The sequence below is a fragment of the Homo sapiens genome, chromosome 15 (genome assembly GCF_000001405.40).
Source record: "Homo sapiens chromosome 15, GRCh38.p14 Primary Assembly".
NCBI classification, from domain to species: domain Eukaryota; kingdom Metazoa; phylum Chordata; class Mammalia; order Primates; family Hominidae; genus Homo; species Homo sapiens.
This window is the reverse complement of record NC_000015.10, coordinates 40,734,092-40,755,339: the sequence shown is the minus strand read 5'-3', so window position 1 is coordinate 40,755,339 and position 21,248 is coordinate 40,734,092. Positions and strand designations below refer to the sequence as shown.

The 21,248-nt window shown below is 48.8% G+C and overlaps 1 protein-coding gene across 7 annotated transcripts, besides 4 other annotated features; it reads left to right on the top strand.

Moving 5' to 3' along the window:
• RMDN3 (regulator of microtubule dynamics 3) lies at positions 86–19,453 on the top strand. Of its 7 annotated transcripts, none has more exons than NM_001323894.2 (13): positions 86–141; positions 550–743; positions 3,162–3,354; positions 3,771–3,914; positions 10,081–10,363; positions 11,191–11,293; positions 15,147–15,207; positions 16,764–16,839; positions 17,298–17,375; positions 17,614–17,712; positions 17,999–18,052; positions 18,136–18,216; positions 18,746–19,453. In NM_001323894.2, exons 2-13 carry the CDS (start codon positions 557–559, stop codon positions 18,797–18,799), a joined length of 1,413 nt encoding a protein of 470 aa, NP_001310823.1. In that variant the 5' UTR covers positions 86–141; positions 550–556; the 3' UTR covers positions 18,800–19,453. The 7 variants fall into 7 exon arrangements, with proteins under 7 accessions (NP_001310823.1, NP_001310825.1, NP_001291731.1 ...); NM_001323896.2 differs by having other exon boundaries at positions 11,113–11,293; NM_001304802.2 differs by having other exon boundaries at positions 86–227.
• Positions 156–365: an enhancer, noted in NCBI's record as "active region_9259". NCBI's record gives its function as "activates an Ori minimal core promoter by ATAC-STARR-seq in GM12878 lymphoblastoid cells {active_cell/tissue: GM12878}" and the evidence as "EXISTENCE:reporter gene assay evidence [ECO:0000049][PMID:35858748]".
• Positions 481–695: a silencer, noted in NCBI's record as "fragment chr15:41046843-41047057 (GRCh37/hg19 assembly coordinates)". NCBI's record gives its function as "represses an EF-1alpha promoter that drives an FKBP-Casp9 reporter gene in an ReSE screen in HepG2 liver carcinoma cells {active_cell/tissue: HepG2}" and the evidence as "EXISTENCE:reporter gene assay evidence [ECO:0000049][PMID:32094911]".
• Positions 8,578–8,747: a silencer, noted in NCBI's record as "silent region_6340". NCBI's record gives its function as "represses an Ori minimal core promoter by ATAC-STARR-seq in GM12878 lymphoblastoid cells {active_cell/tissue: GM12878}" and the evidence as "EXISTENCE:reporter gene assay evidence [ECO:0000049][PMID:35858748]".
• Positions 13,939–14,811: an enhancer, noted in NCBI's record as "H3K27ac-H3K4me1 hESC enhancer chr15:41032727-41033599 (GRCh37/hg19 assembly coordinates)". NCBI's record gives its function as "activates a minimal SCP1, AML or CMV promoter by ChIP-STARR-seq in primed H9 embryonic stem cells {active_cell/tissue: H9 hESC(primed)}" and the evidence as "EXISTENCE:reporter gene assay evidence [ECO:0000049][PMID:30033119]".

The following is a 21,248-nucleotide window of genomic DNA, read 5'->3' as shown; positions in this document are numbered from 1 at the left end:
AACAGACAAGGGGCGGGGCCGGCGCGGTCATCTCTCTGCGCCTTCCCGCAGGGCGCCGAGCACCTGGCGCCGCCTGCCTGACGTCACGGTCACTGACAGCGTGAGCCCGCGGCGGCTGCTGCCATGGTGGCTGGCGGCCGGGTAAGGGTCTGAGTGGATCTCCTGCCAGGCCAGAGCGCCTTCGGGGGCCGCGGCGGAAGGCCAGGAGTTTGCAGCCAGGGCGCCGGGTTTGTGGTCTGCAGTGTCGTGAGGCTGAGGTGGGGGTTGAAGGCCCAGAAGCCGGACTCTGTGACCCGGGTCGGGGGGTGTACTGGAGGGGCGGCTACGTCCAGGCTGGGTGAGAAGAGAGGCAGTGGGGCCCAGGAGGCTGGAGGAAGCCTTAGGGTTCAGACTGGGGTGCACGTAGTCGAGAGCTCAGGGTTTGGGCAAGGGGATACCTGCCGGGGTTCAGCCTTGAGGGTGGGTTTACCGGGTTCACGAATCTCTCTCTCTCCTTACCCCCGCCCGCCCGCCCGCCTGCCTGCTCCCGGTGACTTCTGCTGGCCGCAGGTGCAGCATGTCTAGACTGGGAGCCCTGGGTGGTGCCCGTGCCGGGCTGGGACTGTTGCTGGGTACCGCCGCCGGCCTTGGATTCCTGTGCCTCCTTTACAGCCAGCGATGGAAACGGACCCAGCGTCATGGCCGCAGCCAGAGCCTGCCCAACTCCCTGGACTATACGCAGACTTCAGATCCCGGACGCCACGGTAGGAGCCCGTCTCCTGAGACCGCGGTCACTGCAGACTAATGGGCCTGAGGTCTGGGCTGCTTTCGGTGGAGACTGTGGGACAGGGTAACGGAGAGAAGTGCTTTAGGGTTTCACTTTTTTGGAAGCTTGTTGAAAAAGCAGTCGTCGGGCTGGGCGCGGTGGCTCACGCCTGTAATCCCAGCACTTTGGGAGGCCGAGGCGGGCGGATCACCTGAGGTCAGGAGTTCAAGACCAGCCTGGCCAACGTTCAACCAGATGTCAACATGGTGAAACCCCATCTCTACTAAAAATACAAAAATTAGCCGGGCGTGGTGGCGCGGCCTGTAGTCCCAGCTACTGGGGAGGCTGAGGCACGAGAATCGCTTGAACCTGGTAGGCGGAGGCCGCAGTGAGCTGAGGTTGCGCCACTGCACTCCAGCCTGGGTGACAGAGTGGGACTCTGTCTCAAAAAAAAAAAAAAAAAAAAAGCAGTCGTGGTTTTCTCTACTCTTTCGCCTGTACTCACAAGAAAGTATATTTCAAAAAGACTGTTTAACTTTCACTTTTAGTTCTGGCCACAATAGTGCTATGTGGGTATTAAAGGCACTTGCTTAGTGTTGGGTGAGGTGTGTAATAAGTAGAGGAAGAGTCCAAAAGAGGGCAAAAAGAATAATCTTGTAGGGATTAAAAGTCTTGAGGCTTATGTATTAAATCATATATTAGAATTTGAAGACAACTTGGCAACTATCAAGACAACTTGGCAACTATCTCATTCAAGTTTTTTTTTCTTTTTATCCCTCCTATGAGGAAACCAAGATTCAAAAAGATGGTATAACTTTCCTGAGGCTGTCACAGATTAAGTGGCAAGGTTGGGCCTGGTCACCTGGTCCAGTGGACTTTCTACGGCATAGGGCTAGGAGCACGCTTAATGCAATTGAAGCTGAATGTGGCTGGCAGCCTGTACAGCTGAAATGAGTAGTTCTTGCAGATTTGTCAATTCATTTGAGCAAAGGATCTAGGGCTGGTTCAAACTACTACCATCTTTGTGCAAGAGGAGTGTTTTTTTTCTTTTCTTTTCTTTTTTCTTTTCTTTTCTTTTTTTTGAGATGGAGTCTCGCTCTGTTGCCCAGGCTGGAGTGCAGTGGCATGATCTTGGCTCACTGCAACCTCCGCCTCCCTGGGTTCAAGTGATTCTCGTGCCTCAGCCTCCCGAGTAGCTGGGATCACAGGTGCGTGCCACCATGCCCAGCTAATTTTTGTATTTTTAGTAAAGATGGGGTTTCCCCATGTTGGCCAGGCTGGTCTCCAACTCCTGGCCTCGGCCTCCTAAAGTGCTGGGATTACAGGCGTGAGCCACCACACCTGGCCAAGAGGAGCGTTTACATTATCTCACTCCCATGCTAATTGGAAATGAGTGTTTTCTCTGATTGCCAATGTTAGATGGTTTGGAAAAGTTAGTTTTGGAGTCTTCAAAGAGCTATCAGCTTAGATTGCAAATGATTGTCAGCATTTTATAATCTTGTGGTAATCTAGTATTGGAGTGTGCTTCCTTCCCTTGTATTTTGTTTGTAATTGCTTCGCAGTAGTGTTTCTTCTGAGATTAGAAGAAAGTGGCCACATTGCCAGGGATCTTTCTTGCACTACATTCTTGAGCATTATTGGATGTATGTTGTGGCCTGGCCTAGTTTTTTACCAGATTTCCTTTAAGAAGGGATTTATGCTTGCCGTATTGTAGGGTCCTGCCTCTCTGGTTTCTTTTTTGTTTTTGCATTTTCCAGTTCAGTTACCATAGGTGGCTGTCACTTTGCTAGCATTTCACTGCTGGAATTTACTCTGAGATCTAGGGTTGGGTCAGCAGGGCTTAGTGACGGTGTCTTTCTGAGGCAGTTTGGATGGGCTTTTTCTGGTGTACCTTTTCTCTTAATAACTGCCCCCTTTCTCCTAGTCCTTCTCTGATATACTAAATGAAGTTCTGGGAGAAACTCCAAGTTTTCCCTACTATTATTTGTGAAGTGAGAGATCAGAATTTGAGGGAGCTCAGTTTTAGTTTTAGTTTTGCTATGTGGTTGGTATTGACTCCTTGGTATTGGGCACTATATGGTGAGGTGAAGGTTTTTGTTTTTTTTTAACTCTAGCAGGACAGCTGTCCTCCTTCAGGTTCCACACTTGGGCAAGCATGTTACATTATCTATCGTGGTGTGCAGCATTCCTGAAGGGCCCTGGTATGGAAGGTTCTTGGAGCAGAGGGCTCTCGTTTAGAGATCCCTGGGTAGTTTCTTGAGACTTGTTACCATGACCTGGCTGTGAACGTGTGCTATCTGAGCGTCACTGGGCCTTCTCTTCCAATGGAAAGCAGGTATTCTTGAATTCTGGGTGTGAGATCTCTTCCCCACCATATTCCTGTGTGTCACTGGCTCCCATTCGTTTCCCCCTTCAGTGATGCTCCTGCGGGCTGTCCCAGGTGGGGCTGGAGATGCCTCAGTGCTGCCCAGCCTTCCACGGGAAGGACAGGAGAAGGTGCTGGACCGCCTGGACTTTGTGCTGACCAGCCTTGTGGCGCTGCGGCGGGAGGTGGAGGAGCTGAGAAGCAGCCTGCGAGGGCTTGCGGGGGAGATTGTTGGGGAGGTCCGGTGAGTAATGCGGCTTCTTCTCCTGCTTTATCCCTCCCCTGCAGCTTTTCAGCTGGGGTGTGTTCTGGCCTTCGCTGTCTGTCTCTAAAGAATAAACCAGTTCTATAGCTTCTAGCCTAATCTGGGTTGAAGCTGTACATTTGGTACCTCGCCTTGCACATGCTCCTTGCTGCTTCTGGACTCTCATGGTTGATCTGTTGTAGCAGCTGAAGCGCTCTGTTTGCCTAACCTAGTCTGTCTGTGCGGGCTGGGCCCAGGAAGCTGCCCTGCTTGCCCTCCTGAGGGTTAGAGACTTAGGATTTTCTCTGCTTTTAGCCCTTTAATGAGGAGCAGTAGTAAGAGGCACCCCATGGTGAGCAGAAAGACAAGCTGGATGGGACCTAATGGTACCCTTCGGGATGGGGCCTGCTTTCCAGATGCCACATGGAAGAGAACCAGAGAGTGGCTCGGCGGCGAAGGTTTCCGTTTGTCCGGGAGAGGAGTGACTCCACTGGCTCCAGCTCTGTCTACTTCACGGCCTCCTCGGGAGCCACGTTCACAGATGCTGAGAGTGAAGGGGGGTGAGTTGTCTCTCTTGGAGGCAGTTATGGCTACAGCCAGGTTGTGTTTTGTAAAAGTATTATCAATGGAAAATTCAAACCAAGCTGCTGCAAATGATTTTTGGAACAGGTAAGAGTATAATAAATACAGAAGAGTTGAAACAAAAAACCCATCCAATTTATGTCATTCAGACAAATGTAGATGTTAATAGCAGTTATTGCTTGCATCTGTTATCTTAGTTTATTACATAGTTATGATATATTATTTGGGCATTTTTCTGTGTTATCACAAGGACTTGATAAGCATTGTTTGACTTTGTTCCTTTCCTTGGGTGGCTGAGCTGGTATACGGAGATGTCTAAGCACGAAGCATGCTCCTCCCTGGGAGTCACCCTCTTCCCACAGGGGAGCCTTGCCTGTGATCCTTTGCATTTTTACAGGTGGGAGGTGGATGTCCTGAGTTCTCAGTGGCCCAGGAGGGCTGACGATAGGCCTTTCTGTGAGGCGGGGCAGCTGGCAGGAGTCTGGTGGACAGCCTCCTCCAAGTCTGGTCATGCTAAGGGTGTTTTGAGTTTAAACCACTAGCACCACTTTGAAACTCTGGTCCCAAGGATAGAGTGTGATGTCAGTAGCAGCATCTGACCCATCTGACCTTATCTGCTGCTAGCTCCAGTTATTCAGGTAGCCTGTGTGAGGCCTAGAGGCCGATTTCTCCTTGTCCAGCCTTTATTCTTCTTAAGGGAAAGACTGGTGTAGAGAACAGCCAAGTTTTATGCTGGATCAGAGGAATTAGCTATAAGCAGGTACATGGAAACTAGAAGTTAAAATCAGTCCAGGTGTGGTGGTGGCTCATGGGTAATCCCAGCACTTTGGGAGGCCGAGACAGGAGGATTGCTTGAGTTCAGGAGCTTGAGACCATCCTGGACAAGGCAGCAAGACCACGTCTCTACATAAAATAACTACCTGGGGGAGGCCAAGGTGGGCGGATCACCTGAGTTCAGGAGTTTGAGACCAGTCTGGCCAACATGTCGAAACCCTGTCTCTACTAAAAATACAAAAATTAGCCAGGTGTGGTGGTGCATGCCTGTAATCCCAGCTAATCGGGAGGCTGAGGCAGGAGAATTGCTGGAACCCAGGAGGCAGAGGTTTCAGTGAGCCGAGATTGCGCCACTGCACTCCAGCCTGTGAGACAGAGTGAGACTCCATCTCAAAGAAAAAAAAAAAAAAAAAAAAAAACGAGCTGGGCATGGTGGCATGGGTCGGTAGTCCCAGCTACTTGGGAGGCCGGGAGTTTGAGGATGCAGTGAGCCATAATTGTGCCACTGCACTCCAGCCTGGGTGACAGAGTGAGACCCTGCCTCAGAAAAATAAAATACAATGTAAATACTAGGTGATAGGAATTTTTCAGCTCCATTATAATCGTATGCACCCACTGATATGCGCAGTCCGTGGTTGACTGAAATGTCATTATCACCAACGCTGGATTTGATGAGTGCTCCGGGGTCTCCAGAAACCTGTGGAGTGGTGGTGAAGAGCTCTCTGCTCTTCCATGGGGGACTGCTGTTGCCTGGGTTGTCAGATCCCTGTTATCTGCATTCTCAAGGGCAAACAGAGGTGGCCCTTTTCTATTCAATTTACCTAAATGGCTCTGGGCCAAGAGATGCTTCCAGAAGTTGTGTTAAAGAGGGGGCAAAAATGAAATTAATATTTGATACATCTGAATTGAAGAGAGAGACCGAGGAAGTAGTTGATAGTGGGCACTGAGATGTAAAGAACATCTCTGCAACCCAAGGAAGCAGGCCACTTGGGTGGGGAATTGATGTTTGAACTCTGTAAGGAGGTTGAACAGAAGGAGAGGTCACAGCTCTGCCCAAAATCAAAGAAAGCTTGAGGCCCTTCACAACTGTTTTTGTTTTTGTTTTGTTTTGTTTTGAGACAGGGTCTCACTCTGTTGCCCAGGCTGGAGTTCCATGGTGCCATCACAGCACAGCAGCCTCAACCTCTTGGGCTCAAGTGGTGCTCCTGCCTCAGCCTTCTGAATAGCTGGGACTACAGGCATGTGCCACCATGCCCAGCCAATTCTATTTATTTTTTTTGTACAGATGGGGTCTCACTGTGTTGCCCAGCCTGTTCTTGAACTCTTGGCCTCAAGCAGTTCTCCCACATCAGCCTCCAAGTGCTGAGATTACAGGTATGAACCACCGCACCTGGTCCTCTTTGTGATGATTTAAAGAAGTTGTACTAGGCCAGGCGCGGTGGCTCAGGCCTGTAATCCCAGCACGTTGGGAGGCCAAGGCAGGTAGATCACCTGAGATCAGGAGTTCAAGACCAGATGGCCAACATGGTGAAACCTCGTCTCTACTAAAAATACAAAAATTAGCCAGGCATGTTGGCAGGCACCGGTAATCCCAGCTACCTAGGAGGCGGAGGCAGAAGAATCACTTGAACCCAGGAGGTGGAGGCTGTAGTGTGCCAAGATGGCACCACTGCACTCCAGCCTCGGTGATAGAGCAGTACTCTGTCTCAAAAAAAAAAAAAATTACTGAGGCTGGGGTGTGGAGGCTCATGCCTATAATCCCAGCACTTTGGGAGGCTGAGGTGGGCAGATCACTTGAGGTCAGGAGTTCGAGACCAGCCCGGCCAACATGGTGAAACCCTGTCTCTACTAAAAATAGAAAAATTAGCTGGGCGTGGTGGTGCATGCCTGTAATCCCAGCTATTCCGGAGGCTGAGGCAGGAGAATCACTTGAACCCAGGGGGTGGAGTTTGCTGTGAGCCGAGATTGCACCACTGCACTCCAGCCTGGGTGACAGAGAAAGACTCCATCCCAAAAAAATAAAGAAGTACAAACTTCTGGGGTCAGTGGGAGCCAGAGCAGTTAACCAGGGACACCTGGGGGTCCTTCACTGCTAGGGGTGCTCACTGGGACTCCCAAGGCCACAAGGAGCAGGCCAGGGCTGCCAGACACCTGTGATGGGGCAAGGGGAAGAGTGGATTTCTTAATTATAGCGCCTTCAGGCTGTGTCCCATGCCCAGTCCCGTGGCATGAGAGCAGGTGGTGGTGCAACACTGTGTGGTTGAGCCGGCTGTTCTCTAGGGCAGTGGCCGTGGTGAATGATTCTTTGTGCCATGGTCATTGCCATGTAGGTCAAGGGGGGAGCTCTAGGAGTCTACAAACTCTGAAATGGCTTTGAACATGTGTGTCTTGGGGCAAGGAGAGCTGCTTTGAGGGATGAAGGGCTGAGATTTGATGGGCTGCTTGATTTCACTGAAAGCTGTATTCCTTCCTTCTTCCAAATAACAACTTTGAGGTCTCAGGAGATTGAGGGTGGCAGAGGCAGAATCACTGTGCAGCTCTGTGAGCTTGTTCCCCGGGCATTGTACCAAACACAGCTTGAGTTCCCTCTGTCAGAACCCAACTTGCCCTAAAATACCAGCTCCTCCAGCAAGCCTTCCCAGGCATCTCAGCCAAGAGAAATTGCCTGCAGCCTCATCGTGAAGACTCCTTCTTGGGCATTTATGACCTCATTAAGTTGGGTCTTATCTCAAGGTCAGGGTCCATGTGCCTGGTTATCTTTGAAGGCCTCATACTCAGTCTCTAACATGGTTTAGGTTAAGAGAAACTTAATTGCCAGGAGGAGAGATGTGTGTAACTGAGTCCTTCATTACTGCTTAAGAGTAGAGTGGCAGTCTCTGCTCAGAGGGAGCCTTGGGTCTCTGGCCCACTGTGGGAACTCCTGTCCTCCGGAGTGCACAGGACCAAAGGGCCTTTTCAAAGGTCCCTGCTCGTCTCTGGCAGATCTCAAAAGCCTCAGGGTATGTTAAAAGGGTCACTCCTCTCTGGTAGATTTCTCCAAAGGCTGGCTGGGTTAGTCTGGGAGGTGGAAAGTGAGAGAGAATGGTGTAAATGTGGTAGCCCTTGGCATGTGATTAATCTCTTCTGAGGCCCCAGAAGCTGCCTCAGGCAGTAGGGTTTCAGATTGTTGAGGGTTCCTTAAAGTGGGGCTGAGATGCAATTAAAGTCTACTTTCTATGCCAGCTTCCCTGGAGCCTCCCTGCCTCACAGGGCTCTACCATCTTTCACTCTGTTTGTGGCAGCAAGGCTCCCTGACCTCTCTTCTTGGCTTTGTGAGCTGGGCCTTTAGGATCCAGAGGGATGGCAGCATCGCAGCTCAGGTCCCAGGGGATTCTGTGCTGATGCCTGGGCTCCAGCAGGGCTAGGTCCCTCCCTGGGAGTGCTGGAGGCAGAGAGACTCCTCTTTGGACTCCTGATTGGCTGAGGCAGCCCTCAACTCAGCAAGAAATAGGGTCTCCCCCTCCTTCTAGCAAAGGGAGATGATGCAATTCCAGCTTCCCGTTCCAGATAAACCATCTACCCATTTTGCATTTGGGCCTGGCTGGGCAGAGGAGACTCTGGTTTGATTTTTCTCAATCTGGCAGGTGCAGTTGGGAGTTTCATTCTCTAGGTTGCCTGTGGGTGGTCTCCCTCATCAGTACCCAGGTTGGTTACGAAATCTAATGACACTTATCCTTGTCCCTTTGATTTCTAAAGGTGTTTTTTTTTTTTTCTAATAACTAAAGGGGAAATCTACTTGGATAACCTCTTAAAAAACAAAGGTGCAGTTAGGAAAGGTTTTAAATACCTTACAAGTTCTTGTAGTAGATGTGTCTGGGGCCTCTTTTTTAGATGAGGCTGAAGCTCCTCTGTAAGGATGCAGTCAGCACGGACTGGGTACCAGGTCTGGCTGCTCACTTCCAGAGCCTTCAGAGCCTGCCACCTTGTGGTTTCTGGTTTTCTGGGCAGGACAGCACTTCTGCCCTGACATTAGGCTGTCAGTTGTTGACTTTATTTGTAGGTGGTGTGTCATCTCTCCTTCAGTCCTGTTTTGCTCCAGCCACAGGGAGCCTATTCTTTTTTTTTTTTTTTTTTGAGACGGAGTCTTGCTCTGTCGCCCAGGGTGGAGTGCAGTGGTGTGATCTCCGCTCACTGCAAGCTCTGCCTCCCGGGTTCACGCCCATTCTTCTGCCTCAGCCTCCCGAGTAGCTGGGACTACAGGCACCTGCCACCATGCCTGGCTAATTTTTTGTATTTTTTAGTAGAGACAGGGTTTCACCGTGTTAGCCAGGATGGTCTTGATCTCCTGACCTCCTGATCCGCCCGCCTCGGCCTCCCAAAGTGCTGGGATTACAGGCGTGAGCCACCGCCCCCAGCCTTGTGTTTGCTTCTGACCCCCAGAAGTCCTACCTTTTCCCCTGCTCAGTCCTTATCTATTTTAGGCATTTAGGGAAAACACCCTAATCAGCTGCTGGTGGCTGAGATCCAAGAGAAACTCAGCTTCCTCTTTAGTGGGTGCATCAGGGTTGGGGCTCCTTAGGAGCCACCTGGCATATGGCAGCCCCCCAAACACCTTTTCAGGGGGTAGTTTGCATTGTCTTCCCCTTCTTGCTTCTGGCTGCAAAGTGGTTCCTATCACCTCTCCTCACACCCTTAAGTTCTCAAGGTTACTATGGGCTACTCCTGTTGCGGTTTAGGTTTGGTTGTTGACTTGGGCCAGAGGTTGCGAGTTTGTGGATGTGTGTGTGGCTGCCCATGGCCTGAGGCTGCACCCACCCATGTTGGTTGTGGCAAGTGTCTCTGACTGATAAGGCAAAAACGAGCAGGGACTTCTCACATTTGCCTTAACTGTCACAGGGCCTCAGCTGGTTGTCTGCTCTTTCCTTCCTGGATCATTTTCCCAGCCCTTAGTTCCCATAGGAAACTTTCTCTCAAATAATGATTTCTGCTGGGCATGGTGGCTCATGCCTGTAATCCCAGCACTTTGGGAGGCCGAGGTGGGCGGATCACTTGAGGCCAGGGGTTTGAGACCAGTCTGGGCAACATGGCAAAACCCCGTCTCTACTAAAAATACAAAAAAATTAGGTGGGAGAATTGCTTGACCCCAGGAGGTGGAGGTTTGAGTGAGCCAAGATCGAACCACTGCACTCCAGTCTGGGTGACAGAGCGGGACCCTGTCTCAAAAAAAAAAAAAAAAAAGAAAAAAAGTCTGCCCTTAAGAGGTATGAATGATTGTGATTTGGTGCTTTGGACAATGCCATGTAGAGTGCTTCTTTGGGGGTGAGGGATAGACAGACCCTAGGGGCTCTGAGCTGAATAATCCTCTTGTTGTCCCTTACATTTCTCTGCCAGTTACACAACAGCCAATGCGGAGTCTGACAATGAGCGGGACTCTGACAAAGAAAGTGAGGACGGGGAAGATGAAGTGAGCTGTGAGACTGTGAAGATGGGGAGAAAGGATTCTCTTGACTTGGAGGAAGAGGCAGCTTCAGGTGCCTCCAGTGCCCTGGAGGCTGGAGGTTCCTCAGGCTTGGAGGATGTGCTGCCCCTCCTGCAGCAGGCCGACGAGCTGCACAGGGGTGATGAGCAAGGCAAGCGGGAGGGCTTCCAGCTGCTGCTCAACAACAAGCTGGTGGTGAGGCTCCAGCTGCCTGTCTCCTTCTCCTTCCCTCCCTCCCTCCATCTCTCTGTTCCTGACCCCTGGGGAATGAAGGCCCGTGTGGTTACTGCCCCTACAAGGTGACATGGGACGAGAAATGGTGAGACAGCTGGTTTTGCATCTGTCCCCCAGGTCACATATCCTCTTCCAAGGAGGCCCAGCGTGGATCCTAGGGCCAGTGTACTGCTTGCCCCAGAGCTGCCTCCCCTCTTGGGAGGGGGAGTGTAGTTCTCTGCTTTCTGTAGAGCTACTGCAGAAAGAGCTCTACCTCTCACCTCTAGGGGGAAATGTGGAAAGAACTGTATTTTTTTTTTCTCCTCATTTCCCTTGAGGCAGAGTCCAAGCTGCCAGCCCCATTACAAGCGACAACTGTGTAGGTCACTCAACCATAATTCTCTTGTCAGGTTCACTGACAGAATATATGCCCACCCAGGTATAAATGCCCCCCCCCCAGAAGTTAGAAGTTTCCCTTTTCCTTTCACACTTTCTTCATGTGTCAGCAAAAGACCTCTCGTGCCTTATGACATCTTGGAGTTGACCTTTCCTCCCAGCAGTTCTAGGAGGTCAGAATGCCCTCACCCCGTAATTGTGCAAGCTACTGGCTAGACAGAGAATGTGTCATACATTAACTGCACGTGGGAAGGGATGACTGGGGGGAAGGCTGCGTGTAGGAGCTGGCCTGATATTGATGACTGTAACATACTAGCTTGGAAATTCAAACCTAGGGTGTGGGGGAAGGCCAAGGCCCCCATTCTCCACAGTTGAGGAAAAAGGGGCCTCACCCGTTTCTGTCTGGTCTGCAGTATGGAAGCCGGCAGGACTTTCTCTGGCGCCTGGCCCGAGCCTACAGTGACATGTGTGAGCTCACTGAGGAGGTGAGCGAGAAGAAGTCATATGCCCTAGATGGTAAGTGCTGACAGCTTCCTGTGGGAAGGTGACTGACTGATTCAGGGGTGGGGCTGGCCCATCTGCCTGGGGACCCGGGGAACCACCAAGATGCTGTCAGCAGTTGTGGCTCAGTTACCCACTAGGGACAAACTCTGGCTCCCAAAGACCCTTGCTTTCTCCTCTGGAAGAAGAGAGCAGTCTTTGCTTATCTGTATATCATGCTGATTAGTAACACACGTGCATGTGTTTCTAGGAGTAGTTGTATCCTATCAATGTTATTCGTTTTTCTCACTCTAGCCACAGAGGGCAAAACCTTTTTTCTTAACCTGAGGTTTTTTGCTGCTGCTTAGAAATCTGGTTTCAGTTTTCTGAGCTGGTGGGGCAGGTGTTCTAAGAATATAGCTAGCTTAGAAGACTCTGGAATCCACTTGGCAAGTCTGTTGGCAAAGGCTCCACCCTGGAGGATAGGGTGCATCTGACCTGTGCCAGGCTCAGGGCTTGGCCTTATCTGTCATGAGGTCAGAGAATGCTTGGACTTTAGAGACTGATGTGTCCTGCTGAACTCCACACACTGAGTCAGGTACCATCAATGGGTAATGGGTTTCTAGGTCTGTGGTTCAGTTAATATCTATTTTTTTTTTTTTTTTAAACAGTCTTTCTCTGTTGCCCAGGCTGGAGTTCAGTGGCCTGATCTCGGCTGACTGCAACCTCCACCTCCTGGGCTCAAGCAATTCTCCTGCCTCAGCCTCCCCAGTAGCTGGGATTACAAGCACATGCCATCATACCCGACTAAGTCTTGTATTTTTAGCAGAGATGGGGTTTCGCCATGTTGGCTAGGCTGGTCTTGAACTCCTGGCCTCAACTGATTCACCCACCTAGGCCTCCCAAAGTGCTGGGATAACAGGCATAAACCACTGTGCCTGGCCAGTTAACTGTCTAAAATGGATTTGTCTACCTTTCTATTGTAAGTACAGCCTTACAAATATTATTGAATCCTTGATAATGTATACTCAAACAGTACCTCAAAGTTAACATTCTAAACATTTGTAGAATTCTGTCAATGGAGAAAGAACAGACCAATTGAGTAGGATGTCTCTGTAGACCCTCAGAAAAATTCCTGGAAGTTTTAACAAAAGATGCTTATTTATGATTACTTTTTCTCTCCAAAAGTTTGTTTTCCCTCCTAAATTTCAGATGAGGATTCTCAGCTTTTGGGCTGATTTTTGGACTCTTCATGTCAACAACCTTTCCTTTCCCTCTTGATCATTGGTCATCTCTTATTAGTGCTAGTAGCCAGCATGAACCCCAAAGACAGAAGTGGAGGCAGTGGTTAGCAGGGCAGCACTTGGTTGGTCTGGCCTCCTGAGCTTAGCACCCATGGACAAAGCTTTACCTGCTGGAGGTCAGATGACTATGGAATGTCTTTGAAGGTTCTGCTCTGAGATCACAGCCTTTAAGAATTATCCTTACTGGGTATAAAGTTTATTTCATTGTATCTCTAGGAGCTGGACCACCAGGAGGCAGTCATTCTGTGGGGTCTCAGGCAATGTCTTGTCTACAACACTGTCTGTCTAGCTTGGCAGGAACTAGTTGTCTCATTCTTTGCTATTATTTTCCTAGTGAGACAGTACTTTGAAGAGGGCAGAGAGAAATCCCCAAAGAGGCAGCGTCCCTCATTGGTGGGGCCATGTGGTCCCTCTCTTTGGGAAGAGAGGTAGAGTCTTTCACAGCATCAGTTGTCTTAAGAATGCATTTGTGGCCAGGTGTGGTGGCTCATGCCTATAATCCTAGCACTTTGGGAGGCCAAGGCAGGAGGATTGCTTGAGCCCAGGAGTTAGAGACTAGCCTGGGCAATATAGTGAGACCTTGTCTCTACAAAAAAAAAAAAAAAAACTTAAAAAATTAGCCAGGCATGGTGGTGGAACATGCCAGCAGGAGGATTGTTTCAGCCCAGGAGGCAGAGGTTGTAGTGAACTGAGATTGCACCACTGCACTCCAGCCTGGGCAACAGAGAGAGACCCTGTCTCAAATAAAAAAAGGAAAACATTTCAGATTAGCCAGTTTACCACCTCAATGCATTACATTTGTTCCATTTTCTCCATGTTCCCTTCCAAACTTGTTTTCTTCAAAGAATTCTTGGCTGGGCACGGTGGTTCGCACCTGTAATCACAGCACTTTGGGAGGCTGAGGTGGGCGCATCACCTGAGGTCAGGAGTTTGAGACCAGCCTGGCCAACAAGGCAAAACTGTCTCTACTAAAAATACAAAAATTAGCCAGGTGTGGTGGCACACACCTGTAATCCCAGCTACTCGGGAGGCTGACGCAGGAGAATCACTTGAACCTGGAGGCGGAGGTTGCGGTGAGCCTAGATCGTGCTATTGCACTCCAGCCTGGACGACAGAGTGAGACTCTTGTCTCAAAAAAAAAAAAAAAAAAAAAAAAAATCCTATGTTGCAGTGTCTTCTCCAGTGCATAGGCATGATGGTCCTTATCTGGTGGTCCGTAAGCTCCAGCCTCGATACTCTTAAGTGACGCTTGTCAGAACTTTCATGTTTATGGGCTTTCATTTCTTTGTTAGAACACTAACCTAGAAAACTCGGGTAAGACTAAGTGAACGTCATCTCTGGTCAGACCTCAGTCCATGTGGCTCTTGTGAAAGAGTTTTGGCCTAGAGCTAATTAATATTGTTGGATCGTGGATCCTTTTGAGAATTTTTTTTTTTAAAGAGATGGGGTCTGCCTATGTTGCCCAGATTGGTCTTGAACTCTTGGTCCCAAGCTATCCTCTCCTTGGCCTCTCAAAGTTCTAGGATTACAGGTGTGAGCCAATGTACCCATCCCCTTTAGGGAATTTTTTCAAAGCTGTGATCTCTCTCCCCACTTACTTAAATTTTATACAACTTGAGATTCATGGACACTGCCCCTCCAGAGTAAGGTCTGTTGGGGACAATTTCTGATTGTGTTGGATCCGTTGTTGTTGTTTTTTTTGAGGTGGAGTTCGTCGCCCAGGCTGGAGTGCAGTGGTGCAATCTTGGCTCGTTGCAACTTCTGCCTCCCAGGTTCAAGTGATTCTCCTGCCTCAGCCTCCTGGGGAGCTGGGACTACAGGATGTGCCAACATGCCTGGCTAATTTTATATTTTTAGTAGAGGCAGGGTTTCACCATGTTGCTCAGGCTTGTCTCAAACACTTGGCCTCAAGTGATCCACCCACCTCGGCCTTCCAAAGTGCTAGGATTACAGGCATAAGCCATCGTGCCTGGCTGGATCCTTTTATATTTTAAATGCTAAAATCTGCTTCAAGCACATCAGGTGGGCATTATAAAAAGAAGGTAACTGGGGTTTCTAATGACAGATGGGGAAGCCAAGGTGAAGCAGAAGTCATCCCTGAAGTCTTCCCTTAGAAGCCGTTTGCAGCCTTTTCTGAGACAGTCTTGCTCTGTCACCTAGTCTGGAGTGCAGTGGTGCAATCTCGGCTCACTGCAACCTCTGCCTCCTGGGTTCAAGCGATTCTCCTGCCTCAGCCTTTTGAGTAGCTGGGACTACAGGCGCCTGCCACCACGCCCAGCTAATTTTTGTATTTTTGGTAGAGATGGGGTTTCACTGTGTTGGCCAGGCTGGTCTCCGACTCCTGACCTCAGGCGCTCTACCCGCCTCAGCCTCCCAAAGTGCTGGGATTACACAGCACAGAGGCGTGAGCCACTGTGACTGGCTTCTTTGCGGCCTTTCATTCTGCTCAAGTTCACAACTATTTCCAAACAAGTCCAAGCTGGGTAGGGATTGGTGAGAGCTAAAGCAGTCATTCTTCCCACAAGCCTTCCTATGAAAGTGTGCATAAGAGCTATGTCAACTCTGGATCTACCTTCGTCCTACAGGAAAAGAAGAAGCAGAGGCTGCTCTGGAGAAGGGGGATGAGAGTGCTGACTGTCACCTGTGGTAATAACACCCTGCAGTGTTCTGGGAAGAGCCAGCAAGGGCCAAAGCAGAGGACAGCCCTTTCTTTTCTCTGCCTGGGCCACAGAGGCATTTTCCAAAGGATCCAGGAGAGGGAGTTCTGGCTTGTATCTCCACATGCCTCAGTCTACCCCTAGCCAGAGACAAGGGAAGTTTCTGGTAGGGGAGGTGGCTTAGGGATGAGGCAAGCGGGGAATACAAGCTTTTTTTCTGATGGGGCTTGGAGAAATGAGTAGCTTTGTTAAGAGTCATCCTAGCTACAAAACTGGAGTTCTTGGCTCTCAGGAGGCTGGGACAATCTGCAGCTCCCCTATCCTGCATAAGCTCTTCTTTCCCCTGCGTGTGATCCCTGGCTGCTGGTACTTTGGCTTCTTTGCTTGGTTCATGTGAGGAAAAGTAGATGTGAGCTCACCCCCCAGAAGTTTAGTGGTCAATTTATTAGGCTGCAAAAACATCAGCCCTTTTTGTGGTCTCATGTGAGGCAAAGTTCTGTCAGCTTACCTGGGCCACGGCTAACTCATATCCTGGGGTCTGGTTCCAGCACCTGAGTTTTAGTGAAAATGTTCCTTTCCTTTCCCACCGCCACCCTTGCTTTCCATGTCTCCACCCTCAGACTGTGAGCTAAGTGAGAGGCTGTGTTTCTCCATCTGTTGCTGAAACTTTTGTCTCTGCAAGGGTTCTTCTCAGAGGCCAGGTAACTGTTTCTTGGGTGTCACTGCTTCCCTGGGCTTCCAAGGATGAACAGCTATTCCTGAGGAACAGCTGTTTGGATTAAACATGGAAATGAGCCTCTAGAAGTATCTGATACCCCCCGGATACTTAGCATATACATGAAAAAGCAACTTGGGCTGGTTACTCATCGAATGTCAACTGTGCTGCTAGGAACAATGCTGGGGGGATGGGGAAGTAAGACTTTGTTTCTGAAGACAGATGATGGGAAGCTGGCTGGCTGGTTCCCTTTGGGAGGGGGGATGTGGGGGAGAAGGCATATATAGGAGGTCTTTCTTCCTCTGGTTCTGTTGGTTTCCAAGTAACATCAGAAATTCCTAGAATATCCCCTCCCAATGTGACTATCCTAAGAAATTGCTTCCCAAGTCCCAGTGATACACCTGTATGCTTAAAGGCTAATGAGACCCACTTTTTTGTCTGCCCAGAAGATAAGTAGTATAGTCAGGTCTCATACTTTTATGCTGATTGTTTTCATGCTTTTCAAGTTTTTATTAATGCCTGTGGCTGTACTCCTTATGAGTGTAGGAGAGATTTACTGTGTAAGAGAGATTTACTGTGGTGAACCCAGCTTTTTTTATACCTAGAATACTTTGGAGACTTGTAAGCCTACCATTATCTACTAAAGAATACTAATTGGGGCCAGAGGTCCGTAAAGAATGGGGATTACGTACAGATGAAAATTAGGTATTTTCAGCTCTAGTTGAGGGTACAGGGATAGGGGACAATGCAACTAGGCTGTGGTTGGGGCATCCATTCCTTGCAGTGATGGTACTCAGCCCTTGTCCCTGAGCTTGCTGCTTCCCCCCTAGGTATGCGGTGCTTTGTGGTCAGCTGGCTGAGCATGAGAGCATCCAGAGGCGCATCCAGAGTGGCTTTAGCTTCAAGGTGAGGACAGGCTTTTCCTCCTTCCTTGTGCTGGCCTATCCCAGATTCCCCACTCCTTTCCAGCTCCCTGCCAAAAACTTTTCTACAGCCTCAGTGACTTGCCTTTCTTCTTTTTTTTTGAGACAGAGTCTCACTCTATCGCCCAAGCTGGAGTGCAGTGGTGTGATCTTGGCTCACTGCAACCTCCTGGGTTCAAGCGATTCTCCTGCCTCAGCCTCCCAAGTAGCTGGGATTACAGGCATGTACCACCATGCCCGGCTAATTTTTGTATCTTTAGCACAGATGGGGTTTCACCATGTTGGCCAGGACTGGTTTCGAACTCCTGACCTCAGGTGATCCACCTGCCTCAGCTTCCCAAAGTGCAGGGATTACAGGCATGAGCCACTGCATCCGGCCCTTGCCTCTCTTTTAGCAACTCTGGTGTCTGATGTTAGTTTATATTTACATTTTCCCCTTAGGAGCATGTGGACAAAGCCATTGCTCTCCAGCCAGAAAACCCCATGGCTCACTTTCTTCTTGGCAGGTGGTGCTATCAGGTAAGCTGCGTTTCAGTGCTTGACATAATGGTCCTAAATGCCTTCTGACACCGATTTCCTTGCCAGGAAGAACAAGATCCTCAGCCTTCTCTGGCTCAGGTGCCCTTTCTTCTGAATGCTCGTATTATTGGTGGTTCGACCCAGCCCCGTTTGACCCTATTTTCAATATATCCCCAAAGATTTAAAGAAAAAAAACCTTTTAAAACCTCTTATACACACCTTGATCTTTTTGTGGCAGGTCTCTCACCTGAGCTGGCTAGAAAAAAAAACTGCTACAGCCTTGCTTGAAAGCCCTCTCAGTGCCACTGTGGAAGATGCCCTCCAGAGCTTCCTAAAGGTATGAGAGGGGCAGGTGGCAGGCAAAAACACCAGGGTAACCTTGTTTTTTCCTAAGGACATTATTGAGACCCTTAATGGGAGGGGTTTTCCTAGTCGGGGGCAATTTTGTGTTTGCCTGTTCTATGGGAAAACCAGAATCACTTGCACAGCTTATCAAAAATATAGGTTTCTTCAGACCCACTGAATCAGCCACATGGTTGGGGACTAGAAATCTAGTTTAATAAACTTCAGCCTGATTAGAATATAGGAACCTCTTACTGAAATATCTTTGTCCCTTTTCCCAGGCTGAAGAACTACAGCCAGGATTTTCCAAAGCAGGAAGGGTATATATTTCCAAGGTAAACTCATTTGTCTACTTCAACATAGATCTGGGAACTCCTGAAAGTACACAGTATCAGGTTTCACTGTTGTCTCTTTTCAGTGCTACAGAGAACTAGGGAAAAACTCTGAAGCTAGATGGTGGATGAAGTTGGCCCTGGAGCTGCCAGATGTCACGAAGGAGGTAAGGCTTTTTAATACTGCCTGTTGGGCAGATCACCTGAAGTCGGGAGTTCGAGACAGCCTGACCAACATGGAGAAACCCCATCTCTACTAAAATTACAAAATTAGTTGGGCCTAGTGGCGCACGCCTATAATTCCAGCTACTCGGGAAGCTGAGGCTGGAGAATCGCTTGAATCCGGGAGGTGGAGGTTGCAGTGAGCTCAGATCGTGCCATTGCACTCCAGCCTCGGCAACAAGAGCAAAACTCCATCTCAAAAAAAAACCAAACAAAACTGCCTGTCATCACTGAATCATCATGTGACATTTTTAGAAAATAATCTTTCCTAGAGGTCTTATTTCCCTAGTAAAAAAGAGTCTACCTCTAGGGGAAGAGACAGATTTAATAGGCTCCAGGCTATCCTGGGGAAGTAGGAAAAAGACTGTAGCAGAGCTCAGGAAGGAAGCAAAGGGCCCCTCTTCTTAGGTTCCACTGGTTTGGGAAAATGCTGGTTTAAATTTTGAGCCCTAGATTTGTTCTTTGTCTCCCTAGGATTTGGCTATCCAGAAGGACCTGGAAGAACTGGAAGTCATTTTACGAGACTAACCACGTTTCACTGGCCTTCATGACTTGATGCCACTATTTAAGGTGGGGGGGCGGGGAGGCTTTTTTCCTTAGACCTTGCTGAGATCAGGAAACCACACAAATCTGTCTCCTGGGTCTGACTGCTACCCACTACCACTCCCCATTAGTTAATTTATTCTAACCTCTAACCTAATCTAGAATTGGGGCAGTACTCATGGCTTCCGTTTCTGTTGTTCTCTCCCTTGAGTAATCTCTTAAAAAAATCAAGATTCACACCTGCCCCAGGATTACACATGGGTAGAGCCTGCAAGACCTGAGACCTTCCAATTGCTGGTGAGGTGGATGAACTTCAAAGCTATAGGAACAAAGCACATAACTTGTCACTTTAATCTTTTTCACTGACTAATAGGACTCAGTACATATAGTCTTAAGATCATACCTTACCTACCAAGGTAAAAAGAGGGATCAGAGTGGCCCACAGACATTGCTTTCTTATCACCTATCATGTGAATTCTACCTGTATTCCTGGGCTGGACCACTTGATAACTTCCAGTGTCCTGGCAGCTTTTGGAATGACAGCAGTGGTATGGGGTTTATGATGCTATAAAACAATGTCTGAAAAGTTGCCTAGAATATATTTTGTTACAAACTTGAAATAAACCAAATTTGATGTTATCAGCTCTTTATTCTTACTTGACACCTCCATAATTGTTTCTACCTACAGAGGCTGTTGCAGGCAGGTTATGGTTAATGCTCTTTACAGTATATAAAATACAGGTATCGAGCTTATTTTTAGCCTAAACAAGGCCTATTGCAACTAAGCAGGTACTCCCTGCCTTTCTCATGTTCATTTTTAGGGCCACGAGCACAAACCCCTAAATCCACCTAGAAGAAAATTTAAGACTGAGATGCATAGGCCGAGCGTGGTAGCTCATGCTTGTTGCTTGTAATCCTAGCACTCTGGGAGGCCAAGGCGGGTGGATCACTTGAGGCCAAGGGTTTGAGACCAGCCTGGCCAACATGGTGAAACCCCCATCTCTACTAAAAATACAGACAGAAAAAATTAGCTCGGTATGGTGGCGCACGCCTGTAATCTCAGCTACTAGAGAGGCTACAGCAAGAGAATCACTTGAGCCTGGGAGGCAGGGGTTGCAGTGAGCTGAGATCACACCCTTGCGCTCTAGCCTGGGCAACAAGAGCAAACCTCTGTCTCAAAAAAAAGATTGAGATGCTTTCATATAAGAACCAACCCCTTAATCTAGAATGTCACTGTGTCTTTATTATACCAACCCAGATTTTTTTTTTTTTTGCTGGAGTCTCGCTTTGTCACCCAGGCTGGAGTGCAGTGGCGCGATCTTGGCTCATTGCAACCTCCACCTCCTTGATTCAAGCAATTCCCCTGCCTCAGCCTCCCAAGTAGCTGGGATTACAGGGGCATATCACCACGCCCAGCTAATTTTTTTTGTATTTTTAGTAGAGACGGGGTTTCACCATGTTGGCCAGACTGGTCTGGAACTCCTGATCTCAGGCAATCCACCTGCCTCAGCCTCCCAAAGTGCTGGGATTACAGGTGTGAGCCACCGTTCCTGGCCCCCAGATTTATTTTGTGTTGTAGTAATGAAAGAGGACCTGAGATATACTCAATTCTAATAATAAAACATTCTTTTTTGGTCTAAAACCTAGATTTGGTGGGTCTGGGAATCCATCTATCTCCAGGTGATATTCCCAAAGAACAGGCAAACACAAAATTGCCCCTTACCAGAAACCCCTCCCACCAAGGGTCTCAATAATGTCCTCAAGGAAAAACAAGGTTACCCTGGTATTTCTGTCACCCACATCCCTCATATCCCCGAATACCTTTAAGGAAGCTCTGGATGGCATCCTGCACAGTGGCACTGAGAGGAAATTTCAAGCAAGGCTGTAGCGGTTTTTTTTTTTTTTTTTCCTAGCCAGCTCATGTGAGACCTGTCACCAAAAGATTAAGGTGTGAATAAGAGGTTTTAAAGGTTTTTTTTTAATCTTTAGGAACAGACTATTCTGTACAGAAAACAAACAGGGCTTGGCCCAGCCACCAATAACACGAGCATTCAGAGGAAAAGGTACCTGAGCCAGACCAGGCTGAAAACTGTTCTTCCTGGCAAGGAAATCAGTGTCATAGGACACTTAAGACCATTTAATTATAATGTTTTGTTTTTTTTTTTGAGATGGAGTCTCGTTCTGTACCCAGGCTGGAGTACAGTGGTGCGATCTGGGCTTGCTGCAACCTCCGTCTCCTGGGTTCAAGAGATTCTTCTGCCTTAGCCTCCCAAGTAGCTAGGATTACAGGTGTGTGCCACCACACACAGCTAAGTTTTGTATATACATATTTTTTGAGACAAAGTTTCTTTCGCTCCTGTCGCCCAGGCTGGAGTGCAATGGCACAATCTCGGCTCACTGCAACCTCCACCCCCGGGGTTCAGGCAATTCTCCT